Source organism: Homo sapiens, chromosome 11 (assembly GCF_000001405.40).
Source record: "Homo sapiens chromosome 11, GRCh38.p14 Primary Assembly".
NCBI lineage: Eukaryota > Metazoa > Chordata > Mammalia > Primates > Hominidae > Homo > Homo sapiens.
The window spans coordinates 118,856,515-118,876,846 of record NC_000011.10 but is presented as its reverse complement, the minus strand read 5'-3'; the positions used below and the strand labels follow the sequence as shown (position 1 = coordinate 118,876,846).

Sequence of the window (20,332 nt, the reverse complement as noted above, 5' to 3'; positions counted from 1 at the left end):
GGAACGTCGGCCTGGGGCAGGTTGTGTGGCCAGGGTTAGAGTGAGTCTGGTGCTTGGATCAGGTGTTTGTATACTGAGTACTGCGGCAGCCAGAGGCGAGATTCTGATGGAGGAGCACCTTGTCTAACAGAGAAGGCAAAACAGACACATCATGCAAGTTGGCATGCTCATATTCACATGCAACTGGGCACATTTTCAAAGAATATGCAAAACTCTACCGTGTTGCTAAGGTAGTGTGGGTGGAGTCAGCAGTGTGGAAGGCACAGGGAATGGGGGAAACGTGCAGCATTCCTTCGCACCTAAGTGCTGTGGGCGCATGCGCTGGGTAGGCTGTAAGGCTGAGTGGGTGACAGAAGAAACGCTGCACTGGAGGCCCAGCATGTCTGCTTCCCAGCAAGGCCGCTCTGAGACCAGACCCTGCCTGCTTGCGCAAAGACACGCCAAACACAGAATGCCAAACAGGCATCCCCAGGGGAGTGCTCCTCACACTTTATGCCTCAGAGTCACCAGGAGGGCTTGTTACCTCCAGGTTGCCAGGCCCCACCACGAGAGTGTCTGATTCGGGAGGTCTGGGGTGGGACCTGATAATGTGCATTTCTAAGAGTGTCCAGGTGACGCTATGCTGCTGGCCTGAGAACTACACTCCTAGAACCACCGCTCTAGGCCACGTAGGACTGGTACACAGCCATATACCAATTGGTAAACTCGTCCCCACACAGCTTGTTTTCCAACCTGGAGCTCCCAACCACCCAGCAGGGCCTTCAGTCCCTCCACACAAAGGGTGCCATAGTTGACGTCTCTCCAGAGCAACACAGCACCTCATACAACCAACACACAATCAACAACAATGACACAGCACCTCATACAACCAGCACACAACCCACAGCAACAACACAGCACCTCATACAACCAGCACACAACCCAAAACAACGACACAGCACCTCATACAACCAGCACACAACCCACAACAGGAAGAACACAGCACCTCATACAACCAGCACACAACCCACAGCAACGACACAGCACCTCATACAACCGGCACACAACCTACAACAACAACACAGCACCTCATACAACCAGCACACAACACACAACAGGAAGAACACAGCACCTCATACAACCGGCACACAACCCACAACAACACAGCACTTCATACAACCAGCACACAACACACAACAGGAAGAACACAGCACCTCATACAACCAGCACACAACCCACAACAACACAGCACTTCATACAACCAGCACACAACAGTTGGTTTTCCCAGAACACCGGCCTCCCTGGGCCCCACCCTGGCACCGTTGAGATTTCTGTGGTGCCTCCCGGGCTCTGACAGGTTGCACCTCTATCTCTCTGGTCGGTCTCAGCTCTACTCTAATAAGTAATGCATGAGCTCTACTAGTTAGCTTTCAGCATGTCATGTAATCCTGTCACTTTGATCATGACCCATAGGAAGAAATATATTTTATATCACAAGCTAGTTGGACATGTGTGATGAACATATACACACAAATACACAGTAAGTTTTGTAAACACTGCTTAGTATGGGTAGCATACTCATATTTTCTACTCTTCCTCCTTCCCTCCTTTCCTCCTTCCTTTCGTTCCCTCTTTCTTTCTCTCACTCTTTCTTTCTTCCCTTTTTTGTAGAGATGGGGTCTCTCTATGTCACCCAGGCTGCAGTGCAGTGGCACAATCATGGCTCACTGCAGCCTCCACCTCCCAGGCTTAAGTGATCCTCCCACCTTAGCCTCCTGAGTAGCTGGGACTACAGGTGTGCATCACCACACCAAACTAACTTTTAAATTTACTGTAGAGATGGGGTCTTGTTATGTTGCTTAGGCTGGTCTGGAACTCCTGGGCTTAAGCCATCCTCCCACCTTGGCCTCACAAAGTGTTGAGATTATAGACGTGAGCCACCATGCCCGACCCTCTTTCTATTTTTAATAGCGGTCAATGAATCACACTGCTTTCATGGGTCCACACATAAGTCACAATCCCCAGTTTGAAAATTACAAATATAACTTCTCTGAGCATTAGTTTCCTAATATGTACAATTGTAAAATACCTGCATGGCCAATTTTGCTATTAAATAATATCTTGTATGTAAAAGCCTTTTTCTTTCCAAATAGAAATCCTCCATAGGTCCAAAGTGCTATCTCTCTCTCTCATACACACACACACACACACACACACACACACACACTCATGCTTTTTTTTTTTTTTTAGAGACAAGGTCTTGCTCTGTCACACAGGCTGGAGTGCAGTGGCATAATTGTCGCTCACTGTAGTCTCAAACTCCTGAACTCAAGTGATCCTTCCACCTCAGCCTCCTGAGCAGCTGGGACTATAAGTGTGTACCATGCCAGGCTAATTTTTAATTTTTTTTTGTAGAGATAAGGTCTTGCTATGTTGCCCAGGCTGGTCTCGAACTCCTGGCCTTAAACTTCCTTCCTCAGCCTCCTAAAGCACGGGGATGTCAGGCATGCACCTCTGCGTCAGGCCCACTCATGCTTTTTAAAGGGAGGTCAAAAAGGAAGGAACTTCAGGCAGGACTTTGAGGGAAGGAGGTCCGCAGGCGGTAAATGCACATCTTGGGGAAGGGATGGTGAGCAGTTTGTCTGGACTGGAGCAGAGGAAGATGTGGGAGAAGGCAATGAGGGTGGATACTGAGAGGCCCAGAGAGCCTGTCTGGGCATTTGGATGGCAGAGGGGGCAACTGAGACACATGGCAGGGACTTCAGCAACAGAACTTCACGATGAAGCTGGTGGTGTTTAAGGTGTTTTCATTCCTTTCTTTTCTTTTCTTTTTTCTTTCTTTCTTTCTTCTTTCTTTCCTTTTCTTTCTTTCTTTTCCTTTCTCTTTCTTTCTTTTCTTTCTTTCTCTTTCTTTCTTTCTCTTCCTTTCTTTCTTTCTCTTTTTTTTTTTTGATGGAGTCTCGCTCTCCTCACCCAGGTTAGAGTGCAGTGGCAAGATCTTGGCTCACTGTAACCTCTGCCTCCTGGGTTCAAGCGATTCCCCTGCCTCAGTCTCCCGAGTAGCTGGGACTACAGGTGGGCTAACATGCCTGGCTAATTTTTGTATTTTTTTTTAGTGGAGATGGGGTTTCACCATGTTGGCCAGGCTAGTCTCGAACTCCTGACCTCAGGTGATCCATCGTCCTCGGCCTCCCAAAGTGCTGGGATAACAGGTGTGAGACACCACACCCGGCTAAGGTGTATTCATCTCAACTTCCAAAAAACAGGTATGAATGGCTTACCAAATGCCAGGCTTCAGCAGTGGACAAGACAGACTGGCCTAACAAAAGTCTCTTGCGAGGATGGTCGTGGGTCCTCAAATAACTCACCAGTTTATCGTTAGTATTCCTTAAACCCCCACAACATTACAGGCTCTGAACCAGGTGCTGGCAGAGTGATGAGAAACAAAATGAAGCATGGCTTCCACTCTGCGGTAGCTTATACCCTGGTGAGGAGGGAGGCATTAGACCCATAAACTACGTGCTTAGTAATAATAATAACTTATAATATCATTAGAAAATGTGAAAGTGCTATGAAGAAAAAGAACAGGGTGCTAAGAGAGCAAATAACAACGTGAACTCAATCTCTGTAAACTAATAACCATGACTGTAATGCTCCCAGATTAATTTACAGTTTATGAAGCCCTCTCCCATTCTTGGTCTCATAAGGGCCTCATCCCAGCCTGTGGAGACAGGCAAGCAGGCGTTCTTGGCCTATGTTATTTCTGAGAAAACTAAGTAAGAGTCTATAGGTCTCATGCATCATATAAGTCTACCCAGTTAGTGAGGAACCCCAGCTAGTTCTGACTCAGGGCCCAGAGCTCTGTCCTCCAGGGAGAAAGAGATGAGCCGGCCCTGAGCAGGGCAGCTAGCCTGCTTGTTCTAGAGGAGAAGCTCAAGACATCAAATGGTGAAAGGTTCATCTTCCCCATGTTCAGTCTGGACGGAGCCTCGCAGTGAGGCTAGTGTGAAGAACTGTGGTCAGCAACGCGGAGCTTAGAGGCTTGGCCTTGGGTGGCCCAGAGTGGGGCAGGCAGGACAGAGTGACCTTGAAAACAAAGGAGCAGGAAACGCCGAAGAAAAAAGATGCTGAAGCGGCATCATCAAAGGCGGCCGTGGAACTAACTCAGCAGTGAAAGTGAGCCAGGCCCAAGGCAGAGGTGATGGGCCAACGAAACTCCTCACCGCATTCACCGTCGCAATTGGAGACATGATTGAGGCCGGCCCACCTGCCGCATCTGCACCTTGATCACGGAGCTCCTCCGAGAGAGGTTTCCAAATGACTCGGCCCTGCTGCCCCAGGAAGGAAGCCTTCGGGGCTGCAAGGTGGGGGCCACTGGGTGGGGGCCAGGCACCTGAGAGTAATTGATGACACAGCAGTAGGGGACAGGGCTGCTGACACAGTGGGACCGGCGCTGGAGGTGGCAGAGATGGAGCAGCCACCTGGCCTTACCTACCCAAGGGGGACAATGGGAAATCCCGCCAACGGCTCTTGTGAACAGAGAAGCAAGTGCCAACCCTGGTGCCACAGTTTATGTCCTCTGTAACCTGGCCCCAATTCCCCGCTTTTGTTTCCCAGATATAAATATTTATAGAATGTCAGCCGGGCGCGGTGGCTCATGCTTGTAATCCCAGCACTTTGGGAGGCCGAGGTGGGCGGATCACGAGGTCAAGAGATCGAGACCAGCCTGGCCAACATGGTGAAACCCCCGTCTCTACTAAAAATACAATAATTAGCCAGGCATGGTGGTGCATGCCTGTAGTCCCAGCTACTCAGGAGGCTGAGGCAGGAGAATTGCTTGAACCCAGGAGGCAGAGATTGCAGTGAGCCGAGATCGCGCCACTGCACTCCAGCCTGGGTGACAGAGCGAGACTCCGTCTCAAAAAAAAAAAAAAAAAATTTTATAGATTGTCTACTGTTTTTTCCCAAATTTATTTCTTGGTTCCCCCATTGGGGGTGCACTGTCCTCCAGCCAGTTGAACCCCAGTAGCGTTCCCTCTTTTTGGTGCCCTCCACCCCCTCTGCTTAAAGATTTCTCCAGTTCCTGGGAATTCGGGCGCGGCCCTTTCCCATAATATTCCTCTGGATTGACCGAAAAGCCTAAATTACTCCTCAAGGGCCCATTCTCAGGTGCCCCTTTTCTCGTACAAAGAGACTCCTGCTAAATTCAAGGTTAAACCGTTGCGCCCCGGCCACCCACAACGCAAAGGTGAGATCGGGCACCCTTAACCTGTATTTTTTGAACCCTGGCAGCCCCAACGCTGATAAGTGATACTCTAATTTCCGCACTAAGCCCATATCACAGCCTTTGGGTGACAAAGCCATTTATGATTCTTCCTTCCTCCCCTTTCCTCAAGAGCTTTGCACCCCACAGGAGTACAATAACTGTGTTTGACAGACTGGCTGAATGAATGAAGAGGGAGTGAGGTTGGAGCCAGTGGAGGGTGGGGTGGGAAATCTGGGGTGGGTCTGAGTTTGGCTCTCCTGGGTGTTTTTCTGTGGCCTGCCTGTGGTGCTCATTCTCATCAGGAGAAGCAGAGGAGCTTTGGATCTCAGCTTGGATATCAGTAGCTGTGTGACAGTGGCCAGTCTCTCTTCTTCGCCCTGTGTAAATGGCACAACCCATCTCAAAGGTTATTGTGAGGATCAATGCGTGATCAATACACGAAAACACTCAGTGCCTATTAGGTGCTCAGTAAAGTTTGTTGATGAATTACACAAGTGACAGTAATTTTTTAGTCTCTTTTTTGAGGTTGGGGTGGGGGTGGGGTGGCCATCTACCCTACTCTTCCTTTCAGTACTGACATCTGTGACCTTGTCAGGTCTTTCCTACTAGATTATAACCCTGCACAGTGCCAGGAACGCAGGGCAGCGCGAGCAGTCAACAGAGGTTTGGTGAATGGATGGATGAGCACATGTGTGATATGTAAATCAGTAGTCTCTGGAGTGTAACATCCTACTTCCGATTAAGCAAGGTGCTCTGGAAACTACAGGAGCATAAGTGGCTGCTGTTGCTGTTGTTCTGCCTCTGGACAAGAGGAATTCATGTCTTCTGGGTGGTGATCCAGCTCCACGATCCTCCAGGGTCCCCTGCTGGCTACTGTGGGGGTGCTGCTGGGAGAGAGGCTCAGCTTGTCGGTGAGGGCAGTCGCTCTTTGCTGCAGGCTGACCCAGAAAACAAACTGGTGCTTCTTGCCCCTCCCAGGCCTGTGGTGGGGAGGAGAAAGCCGCAGGGCACTGAGCCCTATGAACCAGTCCAGTGTCCAGAAAAGGGACGATGGCCAGGCTTCAGGGCTGTGGAACTCGCTGTTCTGGAGGCTGAACCCGGGTCAGCTGCAGAGGGGACTCCTTGGGCTGGGCAGTGGGGAAAGAGAGCAGCCAGGGAAGTGCCCAGGGACAGGAAAGAAGGGGCCCCAAGCTGGCCTCAGCAGCTTTCTGTGCACGCAGTTTCTTCTCTGAGGTAAGCAGTTTGAGCTCATCATAGAGAAGGTCTCAGAAATGAACAGTGCCACAAAAGTCTTGTGAAAGGCTTGTCTGTCATCTGAGGCTAGTGCACAGTGACGCGGTGTGTGGGGTGTGCCCTTGAGAGAAACCGGCTGTGCTGCTGCCCAGCAGCCACTGAGCTGGAGGAATTTGCCGTCAGAAGACCCTAGGGAGGCCGCAGTCTCTCTCCGGCCTGTTTCTCTCCAGGCAAACTAAACCTGTGGGTAACTTGCTTCCAGAGGGCTGTTCCACTCTTTCCTCTCCAAGCTGGAGGTCTCTGGTGGGGGTTTCCTACAGCCCTGCTAAAGGCAGAGAGAAGCGGCGAGGGTGTTCTCTTTGCCCCGTCCACGTACAAAACAGGCCAAGGCTTTGGGCTGTGTGACCTGGAGCCATGTCTCAGAGGGCGCTGGGAGCTCTCCAGGCCTTTCTCCAGCCCCCACATTTGTGTTTAGCTGGAGGCAACCTGAGCCTGCGCGGGAAAGTAAACAGTTTCGTTGTTTGGGAAGCTTTTATTAATAGTTACAGATTACACTTTCTTTAAAGGCTTTAAAGAAAACAAGGTGTAATCTGTAACCAATTTTTTTTTTTTTTGAGACAGAGTCTCACTCTGTTGCCCAAGCTGGAGTGCAGTGGCGCCATCCCGGTTCAAGCAATTCTTTTGCGTCGGCCTCGCAGGTAGCTGGGATTACAGGTGCCCGCCACCATGCCTGGCTAATTTTTTTGTATTTTTAGTAGATACAGGGTTTCACCATGTTGGTCAGGCTGGTCTCAAACTCCTGACATCAAGTGATCCACCCGACTCGGCCTCCCAAAGTGCTGGGATTACAGGCATGAGCCACTGTGCCTGGCTTGTAACTGTTAATGAAAGCTTCTTCCAGCATTAAAAAAAAATCTAATTACATAATATTTTTAAGTTAAAATATTTTTAAATTTAATAATTGTTATTATTATTTTTTTTTTTGAGATAGAGTTTCGCTCTTGTTGCCCAGGCTGGAGTGCAATGGCACGATCTCGGCTCACTGCAGCCTCCGCCTCCCCAGTTCAAGCGATTCTCCTGCCTCAGCCTCCCCAGTAGCTGGGATTACAGGCATGTGCCACTACACCCAACTAATTTTGTATTTTTAGTAGAGATGGGGTTTCTCCATGTTGGTCAGGCTGGTCTCAAACTCCCGATCTCAGGTGATCGGCCCGCCTCGGCCTCCTAAAGTGCTGGGAATACAGGTGTGAACCACCTCGCCTGGCCTAAATTAAAAAATAATATTTACCCATTGTTTTTGTAAATGACTTTGCAGTAGAAGCCCTTTGGTGGGGACTGTTCTATGCACTATACAAAAGATAAAGTTGGCCAGGTGTGGTGGCTCACTTCTATAATCCCAGCACTTTAGCAAGACAAGGCAGGAGGATTACTTGAGCCCAGGAATTTGAGACCAGCTTGGGCAACATAGGAAGACCGGTCTCTACTAAAAAAAGAAACCAAACAAACAAATTAGCTGGGCATAGTGACGCACACCTGTAGTCCCAGCCAGCTACTTGTGAGGCTGAGGTGGGACAATTGCTTGAGCCCAGGTGTTCAAGACTGCAGTGAGCCCTGATTGTGACAGAGTGAAGCATGAAAAAAAATTGTAAAAAAAGGAAAATGTATAGTTTTGCTTTCTTTCTTTTTTTTTTTTTTTTTGAGACAAGTTTTGCTCTGTCACCAGGCTAGAGTCCAGTGGCGAGATCTCGGCTCACTGTGACCTCTGCCTCCCAGGTTTAAGGGATTCTCCTCCTCAGCCTCCAGAGTAGGTAGGTCTACAAATGCGTGTCACCATGCCCAGCTAATTTTTTTTTTTTTTTTTTTTTTTTTTAGTAAAGACAGGGTTTCACCATGTTGGCCAGGATGGTCTCAATCTCTTGACCTCATGATCTGCCTGCCTTGGTCTCCCAAACTGCTGGGATTACAGGCATGAGCCACCACACCTGGCCAGTTTTGCTTTCTTTTTCTTTCTTTTTTTGAGATGGAATCTCTCTCTGTCACCCAGGCTGGAGTGCAGTGGTACGATCTCAGCTCACTGCAACCTCCGCCTACCAGGTTCAAGCAATTCTCCTGCCTCAGCCTCCCAAGTAGTTGGGATTACAGGCTTACGCCACCACGCCCAGCTAATTTTATGTATTTTTAAGTAGAGATGGGGTTTCACCATGTTTGCCAGGCTAGTCTTGAACTCCTGACCTCAAGTGATCCACCCACCTTGGCCTCCCAAAGTGCTAGGATTATAGGCGTGAGCCACTGTGCCCAGCCTGCTTTCTTTTTATATGAAGGATATATTATTCATATTTCAGTAAGTTAACATTTTATTTTATTTTAGAATCAACATTACATATAATTGGAAAATAGTGGGGAAAATCAGTCATAATGTTGTGATGGGAACTAATATAACTTTGTCCATCATCTTTTTTCTTTATTATATATATATATGTAGATATATAGTTTTTTTTTTTTTTGAGACAGGGTCTCACTCTGTCACCCAGGCTGGAGTGCAGTGGCATGATCATAGCTCAGTGCAGCCTTGAACTCCTGAGCTCAAGTGATCCTCCTACAAAATTATCCCAAGTAAACTAAATAAGAAGGCTTTCCAGCTGGGCGTGGTGGCTCACACCTGTAACCCCAGCACTTTGGGAGGCCAAGGCGGGCGGATCACCTGAGGTCGGGAGTTTGAGACCAGCCCTACCAACATGGAGAAACCCCGTCTCTACTAAAAATACAAAATTAGCTGGGCCTGGTGGCGCATGCCTGCTATCCCAGCTACTTGGGAGGTTGAGGGAGGAGAATCACTTAAACCTGGGAGACGGAGGTTGCGGTAAGCCGAGATCGTGCCATTGCCCTGCAGCCTGGGCTTTCCATGAACTGGGCAATTGTTGGAAACCAAGTGGATGTGGGTTGCTAGCTGATTCCAATATGTGCCTAGAATTAGAATATTGATCCGGATTTTTACATTACTCATCCCTCTTGTTTCATCTGAGCTGCAGTCAGAGATCACTGATTGGTTCACAGCAATAAGCAGGTGAGTCTAAATTGCAGAAAACAAGCTCAAAAACAACTGATAAGACTAGAATCTAGTAACAGGTGTACCACAGTTACTGAAACATATTTTTTTTTCTCCAGTCTCCCGTTTTTACTAAAGAAAAATCACGGTAAGACCAATTTGCTTTATTATATTCAGTCTGATCATTTGTATAAAGTGCAGCAAGAATAATTATTTTTCACATAGGATTTTTATAATTGACTTTGATGGAACTTTCTTCCATAAAAAGAATCTCAGATAATACCTTTTTAAAAGCCAAGCCTAGCCATGGGTTTGTACTGTCAAACACCTATAGGAGTTGCATAAATTCCTTTCCTCTTGAGGTCCCGAGATAACTTGGGGCTCCTGGGCCTGTCAGAAAGTGACATTCTTTATTTACCACAGGTCAGAAACCCTGTATAAGGACTGTGCAGACAAGGCACATGGCCAGTTTTCCCAAGGGGCTTTATTGCCTCTATAAGTCAAGTTTGATTCCTTAAAGGAAAGCGCATCATTCCATTCAAAGCCTTGGTAAAATAACCAGTTTCTCCAATTGTGTCCTGTTGCAAAAGAAAATGTTCTTATTGCACTTATGCAAATAACCATATTGCCATAAGTTAAGAATACTCACAAATAGTGTCCAAATTCTGACAAAATCAGAAAGAAAAACAAATATGCTCCAAATTTTGTTCACAGGTGTTTACTCAATTGTTAGAAGCTGTCAATAGCTCAAAATAAAAGTTTTCTTGACTCCAAAGTCAGCCAATTAGTGCTGAAGTCTATTTCCTTTGGGTTGGGGTCTCCCCAGTATAATCCCCTCATGGTTAGCCAGGAAGACGTTACTGGAAAGGGGTCCCAATCCAGACCTCAAGAGAGGGTTCTTGGACCTCGCACAAGAAATAATTTAGAGCAAGTCCATAGAGTAAAGTGAAAGAAGTTTATTAAGAAAGTAAAGGAATAGGCTGAGTGCGGTGGCTCACACCTGTAATTCCAGCACTTTGGGAGGCTGAGGCTGGTGGGTCATTTGAGGTCAGGAGTTTGAGACTAGCCTGGCCAACATGGTGAAACCCTGTCTCTACCAAAAATACAAAAATTAGCCAGGCGTGGTGGCAGGCACCTGTAATCTCAGCTACTCTGGAGGCTGAGGCAGGAGAATCTCTTGAACTCAGGAGGTGGAGGTTGCAGTGAGCCAAGATTGCAGCACTGCAATCCAGCCTGGGTGACAGAGCAAGACTCTGTCTTGAAAAAAAAAAGAAAGTAAAGGAATAAAAGAATGGCTACTTCATAGGCAGAGTAGGCAGAGCTACATTTTCATTTAGCATGTTCTTAAAAATATTGTTTGGAGGTTTTCAGCACGAAATGTCAATGTTTAAAATTTCTGCCTCTTACTGTTTCCAAAATGTCAAGATAATAATTAGAGTTAACATGTATTTATTATATTTAATGAACAATTATTATGAAGAACCTACTATGTGCCAGGTTGTGGTCTAGGCTCTGAGGACATAGCAGTGAAAAAAACAGAAAGGATTCCTATCTTCAAGTCTTCATGGAGCTTACTTTCTAGTGGGGAAAGACAGACAATAAACAAAATAAATAAGTAAATTAAATAATACATTAGTTAGATTGGCTGGGCGCCATGGCTCATGCCTATAATCACAGCACTTTGGGTGGCTGAGGTGGGCAGATCACTTGGGTTCAGGATTCGAGACCAGCCTGGACAACACGGCAAGACCCTGCCACTAAAAAAAATTATAAAAATTAGCCAGGCTTGGTGGCGTGCACCTGTAGTCCCAGCTACTCAGGAGGCTGAGGTGGGAGGACGACTTGAGCCCAAAAGGTGGAGGTTGCAGTGAGCCAAAATCACGCCACTACACTCCAGCCTGGGCAACAGAGTGATACCCTGTCTCCAAAAAAATAAAGAAAGAAAGAATACGTTGGTTAAATAGTATATAGATGGGGCACATGTGTTTTTTTAAAAAGGTGACCCAGAAACAGAGGATAGAGAGGGCTGGAACTGTCAGGAAAGACCTAACATTTCCAAGGGGACTTTTTGGGTTTTTTTTGATCAGGGTCTCACTCCATTGCCCAGGCTGGAGTGCAGCAGCACAGTCTCAGCTTGCTGCAGCCTCAACTTACCGGGCTCAAGTGATCCTCCCACCTCATACTCCTGAGTAGCTGAGACTACAGCCATGCACCAGCATGCCCAGTTAATTTTTGTATTTTTTGTAGAGACAGGGTTTCATCATGTTGCCCAGGCTGGTCTCGAACCCTTGGGTTCAAGTGATCCTTCCACCTCGTCCTCCCAAAGTGCTGGGATTACAAGCATGAACCACTGCACCTGGCCCAGGGGGACTTTTAAGTGAAGACCTGAAGGTGTTAAGAACATGAGCCATGAGGATATCTTGGTGTAAAAGTGTTCCAGGCAGAACAATGAGCAAGTATGAAGATTCTCAGGGGCGGGAACTTGCAAGGAGGCAAGTAAGCAAAGGGTTGTGTAAAGATGACAGCAGAGAAGTTGAGGCCAGAGTATGGAAGACCTTATAGGCTCTGGCAGAGACTTTGGCTTTTACTCTAAATTGGGAAGTATTGAAGGGTTCGGGGCAGGAGTAACATAATGCAACTTCTGTATAAATAGGCTCACTCTGGATGCTATGTTGAGTAGAGACCATAGGAGAGTATACTTGGAAGCAGGGAAACCAAGAACCTGTTTCATTAATCCAACTAAGAGGCGATTGTGACTTGGACCAGTGCAGTTACGGTGCAGTGCTGAGAAAGGGTATTCCAAGTATCTTTTAAGTATCTTTTGAAGGTAAAGCCAAGGCCTTTGGATGGATGGATGGATGACTCCGAGGACTTTGGCCTGAGCAACTAAAGGAGGGAGTTGCCATTAACTGAGATAGTTAATGAGATAAGGAAGACCTTGGAAAGAGCAGGTTTAGGGGTGGAGATCTTTTTATTTTAATTAATTTTTTTCCTGATCACTAGACCACCAGGGATAGGGACAGAGATCAAGAGTTCAGTTTTGGGCTGGGCATGGTGGCTGACACCTGTAATGCCAGCACTTTGGGAGGCTGAGGCAGGAGGATTGCTTAAGCCCAGGAGTTCAAGACCAGCCTGGGGAACATAGGAAGACCCCCGTCTCTACAAAATGTAAAAAATTAGTCTGGTGTGGTGTTATGCACCTGTAGTCCGAGCTACTTGGGAGGCTGAGGTGGGAGGATCACTTGAGTCTGGAAGTAGAGGCTGCAGAGAGCCATGATTGCGACACTGCACTCCAGCCTGGGTGACAGAGACCTTGTATCAAAAAAAAAGAAACAAAAGTTCAGTTTTGGGAATGTTAGTCTAAAGATATCTACTTTGTATCCATGTGGACGTGTCCATCAGGCAGGCTGATATATTCCAATAAAGAGTTCAGAGCAGAGGAATGAACTCAAGATATAAATTTGGAAATGGCTGATATATAAATGGTATTTTTTAAAGCAAGTTTAATTTTATTTTATTTTATTTTATTTTATTTTTGAGATGGAGTCTTGCTCTGTCACCCAGGCTGGAGTGCAGTGGTGCAATCTCTGCTCACTGCAACCTCCACCTCCCGTATTCAAGCAATTCTCTGCCTCAGCCTCCGAGTAGCTGAGATTACAGGCATCCGCCACCACACCCAGCTAATTTTTGTATTTTTAGTAGAGATGGGGTTTCATCATCTTGGCCAGGTTGGTTTTGAACTCCTGACCTCATGATCCACCTGCCTCGGCCTTCCAAAGTGCTGGGATTACAGGTGTGAGCCACTGTGCCTGACCCTAAATGGTATTTAAAGCCAAGGAAGTGAGTGTAGGCAGAGAAGGGATTAAGGATTGTGGCCCTGGGCACCCCAAGGTTCAGAGGTTAGGGAACTATATGAATTCATTTAATCCTCACAATAATCTTCTGAGGAAATTGTTATTACTGTAGTGTCACCATTTAATTAGTGATGGGCCAGGCACGGCGGCTCACACCTGTAGTCCCAGCACTTTGGGAGGCCAAGGTGGGCAGATCGCCTGAGGTCAGGAGTTCAAGACCAGCCTGGCCAACATGACGAAACCCCATCTCTACTAAAAATATAAAAATTAGCTGGGCATGGTGGCGCAAGCCTGTAGTCCCAGCTACTCGGGAGGCTGAGGCAGGAGAATGGTGTGAACCTGGGAGGCGGAGCTTGCAGTGAGCCGAGATTGCACCACTGCAATCCAGCCTAGCGACAGAGTGAGTATCCATCTCAAAAAAAAAAAAAAAAAAGTGATGAAATTGAGGCAAAAAGAGGTTAAGTAACTTGCCCAAAGTCATGCAGCCAATAAGTAGCAGAACTGGGATCTGAACCAGCCAGTCTGGCTCAAACCATTGTATATTTCACCTCTAGGCTATAACAGGTTGGCTCTGTTAAATGGCATACTTTGCAAGTAGAGAAATTGAGTTTTAGGTTAAATAATTTGTTAATATTGGTGGTCGGTGGCAGAGCTGGGATATAAACTCTCTCACTGGTTCTTTGTTTTAAGAGATCTCTGCATTTTTGTTTTTTTTGAGACGGAGTTTCACTCTCGTTGCCCAGGCTGGAGTGCAATGGCACCATCTTGGCCTCCTAAAGTGCTGGGATTACAGGCGTGAGCCACCAAACTCGGCCAGATCTCTGCATTTTTAATTACTCTGCTGTATGATCTGTGCAACGTTTAGTTTTTATTTTCTTTATTTCTGAGACAGAGTTTCACTCTCGTTGCCCAGGCTGGAGTGCAATGGTGCAATCTCGACTCACTGCAACCTCCACCTCCTGGGTTCAAGTAATTATCCTGCTTCAGCCTCCTGAGTAGCTGGGATTACAGGCACCTGCCACCACGCCCGGCTAATTTTTTGTTTTTGGTTTTTTTGAGACGGAGTCTCACTCTGTTACCCAGGATGGAGTGCAGTGGCGTGACCTCAGCTCACTGCAACCTCCGCCTCCCAGGTTCAAGTAATTCTCCTGCTTCAGCCTCCTGAGTAGCTGGGATTACAGGTGCCCACCACCATGCCTGGGTAATTTTTTGTGTGTGTTTTTAGTAGAGACGGGGTTTCACCATGTTGGCTAGGTTGGTCTCGAACTCCTGACCTCAGGCAATCTGCCTGCCTTGGCCTCCCAAAGTGCTGGGATTATAGGTGTGAGCCACTGCACTCAGCCTCTATGCAACATTTAAATGATGGGTGTACCTGTAGTCTAAACTGCCTGGGAGGCTGAGTGGGGAAGGATGGCTTAAGCCCAGGAGCTAGAGTCCAGTCTGGGCAATATAGCGAGACCCTGCCTCTAGAAATTTTTTTTAAAAAAGGCCGGGCGCAGTGGTTCATGCCTGTAATCCCAGCACTTTGGGAGGCCAAGGCGGGTGGATTACAAGGTCAGGAGATCGAGACCATCCTGGCTAACACGGTGAAACCCCGTCTCTACTAAAAATACAAAAAATTAGCCGGGCGTGGTGGCGGGCGCCTGTAGTCCCAGCTACTTGGGAGGCTGAGGCAGGAGAATGGTGTGAACCTGGGAGGCGGAGCTTGCAGTGAGCTGAGATCGCGCCACTGCACTCCAGCCTGGGTGACAGAGCAAAGACTCCATCTCAAAAAAAAAAAAAAAAGATGGGGATAAAAACCTCCCGCATCTCTCAAATCACCACCCTTAATCAACTACCTTTCCTACCTACACACAAGACAAATTTTCTGGCTTGTCACTGTTATTGGAGAAATGGGATACCAGATCGAGGTGCTAAGTCAGTGTCAGTTCCTGCTCCCCTGCTTCTTCCTCCTCTCCTGGGCAAGAATTCCATGACTGGACATGATTCCTGACTTCTGAAAGCACAGGTCTTAAGGGTGTTCTGTGGAATGGTTCTCTGTAGCCAACAGCAACTTGCTTTCCTTGCCAGTTTAGTTTCTCCTTCAGCAAAACAAGAGGATTGGGTCAGGACACTGGTTCCGAAGCTTGGCTGTGAATCTGAACTACCTACCTGGGCACTGTTTAAAGCCTACAGTGCCCACCACAGACCTATTGAATCAGACTCTTCAGGGGTGAGACCCAGGCATGTATACGGTGGCTCTAAAACACCCTTCAATAAGAAGCCCTGGGCTAGATGATCTTGAAGGTCTCTCAGCTCTAATGCACTGTGCTTCCCTGATGTCTTTCTCAGGGCCAGCACAAAGTGGAACTCTGAACAGAAGGCAGAGAACCTGGGTTCTTATTCCAGCCATGCTAGTAACAGCTCCGAGTTACTTCCACTCTTGGGGCTTCAGTTTCCTTATCTGCAACAAGAGTTGGGGGTAGGGGGGTTGCCCTAGATTCCTTCATCCAGCAAGTATTTATTGAGCACCTACTCTGTCAAGCTCTGGGATTCATGGGGTCTGAGTCTTGGTCATGGAATAGGATGACATTGCAAGGGGTAAGGGCTGCTGCCAGGCAACTGGGCCTGGTTTAAATTAAATTAAATTATTTAATTTAATTAAAGGCAAGGACATCACAGGTCCTTTTTTTTTTTTTTTTTCTTGAGACGGAGTCTTGCTCTGTCGCCCAGGCTGGAGTGCAGTGCTGGTGCAATCTCAGCTCACTGCAACCTCCTCCTCCTGGGTTCAAGTGATTCTCCTGCCTCAGTCTCCCGAGTATCTGGGATTCCAGGTGCCCGCCACTACGCCTGGATAATTTTTGTATTTTTAGTAGAGACGGGGTTTCGCCGTGTTGGCCAGGCTGGTCTCGAACTCCTGACCTCGTGATACACCTGCCTTGGCCTCCCAAAGTGCTGGGATTACAGGCATGAGCCACCGCGCCCAGCCCCCCACTGGTCCTCTTTTAGTACCACCATGATGGTTTCCTGTCCCCAAACTCTCTTCCAACCCTTGTTAACCATAGCTAGTCTCCACAGCAACAAACAAACCTCCTGGGTTCAGAAAGGGAACTGTATGTAAAACTGGCTAAATAAAAGTTATTAGCTTGTCTAGATAATCCCACTAGCCAGTTCTGAGATCTGAGACTAAACTATTCCACACACAATGGCACAACTAGAACCTTGTGGTTCACAGCGTGGCCCACAGATCAGCATTGGATCTGTCACTGACAGCTTGTTAAAACTGGAATCCTAGGCTCCACCCTGGTCCTACTGAATCAGAGACTGCATTTAAAGTGATCCCTAGGTGATTGTATGCACATTACGGTCTGAGAAACACTAAACTAAAAAACTATGAGCTCAGAAAATCTGTGGCAAGAAATGTGTGTGAAACCTATAAGAGGAAATCCATACCACTTCCCCGAGAGACAGCACATAGCGTGTTTCTGGATGGGAATACTCAGTGGGGGGAAGATGACAATTCTCACTCGCATGAAATGGATCAAAGTGATTTTTTTTTCTACTGTCATTTTTCTTTTTCTCTATATTTTTCAAAATTGATATATCATGATGGTACATATTGGTACATATTGTGGGGTGTGTGTAGGTCAAATTGATTTTTGAAGTTAATTTGAGAGAATAAATTGGCTGGGCATGGTGGCTCACATCTGTAATCTCAGCACTTTGGGAAGCCAAGACAGGAGGATCCCTTGAGGCCAGGAGTTCAAGACCAGCCTAGGCAACATAGCAAGACTCCATTTCTACAAAAAATTGTTAAAAATTTGCCGGGCTTGATGGGTGCACGCCTATAGTCCTAGCTTCTCAGGAGGCTGAATGAGGAGGATTGCTCGAGCCCAGGAGTTTGAGGCTGCAGTGAGCTATGATAGCGCCACTGCACTCCAGCCTGGGTGACAGAGCAAGAACCTGACTCTAAAAAAAAAAATTATAAAATAAACAGACAAGAATAGAGTTTTTTTTCTTTTGGAAAATAAATACAATAAGGTAGGATTTCCCCTATTAGATATTATGTTAAGCTGTGTGTAGTGGCTCACACCTATAATCCCAGCACTTTGGGAGGCCGAGGTGGGCAGATCACCTGAAATCAGGAGTCTGAGACCAGCCTGGCCAACATGATAAAACCCCTGTCTCTACTAAAAATACAAAAAAAAAAAAAAAAAAAAAAAAAAAGCCAGGCATGGTGGTGCACACCTGTTATTCCAACTACTCGGGAGGCTGAGGCAGGAGAATTGCTTGAATCCAGGAGATGGGGGTTCCAGTGAGCTGCGATTGCACCACTGAACTCCAGCCTGGACAACAGAGCAAGACTCCATCTCATGGCTGGGCGCAGTGGCTCACACCTGTAATCCCAGCACTTTGGGAGGCTGAGGCGGGCGGATCATGAGGTCAGGAGTTCGAGACCAGCCTGACCAACATGGTGAAACCCCATCTCTACTAAAAATACAAAAATTAGCCAGGCGTGGTGGCGCACGCCTGTAATCCCAGCTACTCAGGAGGCCAAGGCAGGAGAATCGCTTGAACCCAGGAGATGGAGGTTGCAGTGAACTGAGATTGTGCCACTGAACTCCAGCCGGGCGACAGAGTGAGACTCCGTTTCAAAAAAAAAAAAAAAAAAAAAGACTCCAACTCAAAAAAAAAAAAAGAAAAGAAATGATGTTAAGAGGAATTCAGGTTCTGGAGAAAGAGAATCTGGGTTTAGGCCAGGTGCAGTGGCTCACGCCTGTAATCCCAGCACTTTGGGAGCCCGTGGTGGGCTGATCACGAGGTCAGGAGATCGAGACCATCCTGGCTAACATGGTGAAACCCCGCCTCTACTAAAAAAATTACAAAAAAAAAAATTAGCCCGGCGTGGTGGTGGGCACCTGTAGTCACAGCTACTCGGGAGGCTGAGGCAGGAGAATGGCGTGAACCTGGGAGGCAGAGCTGGCAGTGAGCCAAGATTGCACCACTGCACTCCAACCAGGGCGACAGAGTAAGACTCCGTCTCAAAAAAAAAAAAGAAGAAAATTGGGTTTGAATCTGACTTTGCCACTTCCTGAACATGTCACTGCTATGGACTGCATGGTGTCCCCTCAGATTCATATGTTGAGGCCCTCCCCTTCTCCTCCCCGTCTCCTTTCCCCACCCCCTGCCCAGCACAAAGGAAAGGGCACTTCATGAAGACACAGCGAGAAGGTGGCCATCTACAAACCAGGGAGAAAGCCCTTGCCCAAAGCTGAACCCTGCCAGAACCTTCCAGCCTCTAGAACTGTGAGAAGATATTGATAAATTTCTGTTGTACAAGCCACTCAGTCTGTAGTATTTTGTATGGCAGCCCGAGCAGACTAAGGCTGCCATCTTGGGAAACCTTCCTAACATCTCGTAGCCTCTGTTTCTTCCTCCTGTAAAATGGGAGTAAGAATATCATTTACAGCATCCTTATGAGTATTAAAGGAAATAGTATATGTCAAACACTCAGCAGAATGCCTGGCCCATAACAGTTGTTCAACAAATGACGATTACAGTGATAACAACTGCACCACTGGGCAAAAATCTGTAGAAAGACCAATGGAACAGAACAGATAACCCAGAAACAGACCTCAGCATTTCCATAAGCTCCAGGAGTGCAGAGAAAGTCTATGTTTGTACTCACCATTGTGTCATTTTCCCCATGCCTAACATATATAGGGCATACAGGAAGTGCTTAAAAAGTGTATGTTGTATTAGAATTTCATACACATGGCTGGGCATGGTGGCTTACACCTGTAATCCCAGCACTTTAGGAGGCCCAGGTGGGAGAATGACGTGAGCTCAGGAGTCCCAGGCCAGCCTGGGCAACGTCGCGAAACCCCATCTGTACAAAAAATACAAAAATTAGCCAGGCATGGTGGCACGTGCCTGTAGTCCCAGCTTAAGCCTGGGAGGTTGAGGCTGCAGTGAGCTAAGATTGTGCCACTGCACTCCAGCCTGGGGTATAAAGTGAGACTCTGTCTCAAAAAAACCCCAAAATGTAATACATGCTAAAGAAGGACTCATAAATCAGTGGTGAAAGAGAAGACTAGTCTTTCAATAATACTGGGAAAATTGCTTACAGTTTTGGACTAAAATAACCAGATTTTATTATTTCATTTTATAAAGAGGCTTTTAAACCTTTTTGGACTATGACCCACAGTAAGAAATATGTGGAACATCTCGCCTGAATATAAATTAATAATTAAAACAAAAGTTTATAAAGCAATATTTATCCTTATTATGTCAGATGGACTCTGATCTATTCTATTCTATTCTATTCTATTCCTATATTATTAAAAAGAAAATTCTGGTGTCTGCCCAGTAAATTGATCTAATAACTCACTAGTGAATAGCTACCAGTAGTTTGAAGAATATTTCTTATACCAAAATTAATTTTTAATTTAAAAAAAGAAAAAATTATAGGTAAATAATATGAGAGTTTATTTATTTATTTATTTTTGAGACAGAGTCTTGCTCTGTATGTCACCCATACAGTACAGTAGCACCATCGGCTCACTGCAACCTCCGCCTCCCGGGTTCAAGCTATTCTCCTGCCTCAGCTTCCCGAGTATCTTGGATTATAGGCATGCACCACCACACCTGGCTAATTTTTTTATTTTTAGTAGAGACGGGGTTTCACCATGTTGGCCAGGCTGGTCTCGAACTCCTGACCTCAAGTGATCTGCCCGCCTCCGCCTCCCAAAGTGCTGGGATTACAGGCATGACCCACTGAGCCGGCCAAATAATAGGAGGTTTTGAAATGAGAAATGACTTGAGATTTTAAAAATAATGAAAAAAATAACAAAGGCAAACATCAACAAATTTGAGAACACCAACATTTTAAATATGTTATAGGGACCACATATGGCAAAGGCAGCTATGACAGACAGGATGTGGTCATCACTGGAGAGAAGAGGCCAGTTATTC

At 46.7% G+C, this 20,332-nt stretch overlaps 4 annotated features.

The window, feature by feature from the left end:
- Window positions 4,075-4,264: an enhancer, noted in NCBI's record as "active region_5606". NCBI's record gives its function as "activates an Ori minimal core promoter by ATAC-STARR-seq in GM12878 lymphoblastoid cells {active_cell/tissue: GM12878}" and the evidence as "EXISTENCE:reporter gene assay evidence [ECO:0000049][PMID:35858748]".
- Window positions 6,127-6,206: an enhancer, noted in NCBI's record as "active region_5605". NCBI's record gives its function as "activates an Ori minimal core promoter by ATAC-STARR-seq in GM12878 lymphoblastoid cells {active_cell/tissue: GM12878}" and the evidence as "EXISTENCE:reporter gene assay evidence [ECO:0000049][PMID:35858748]".
- Window positions 6,637-6,726: a silencer, noted in NCBI's record as "silent region_3956". NCBI's record gives its function as "represses an Ori minimal core promoter by ATAC-STARR-seq in GM12878 lymphoblastoid cells {active_cell/tissue: GM12878}" and the evidence as "EXISTENCE:reporter gene assay evidence [ECO:0000049][PMID:35858748]".
- Window positions 6,737-6,786: a silencer, noted in NCBI's record as "silent region_3955". NCBI's record gives its function as "represses an Ori minimal core promoter by ATAC-STARR-seq in GM12878 lymphoblastoid cells {active_cell/tissue: GM12878}" and the evidence as "EXISTENCE:reporter gene assay evidence [ECO:0000049][PMID:35858748]".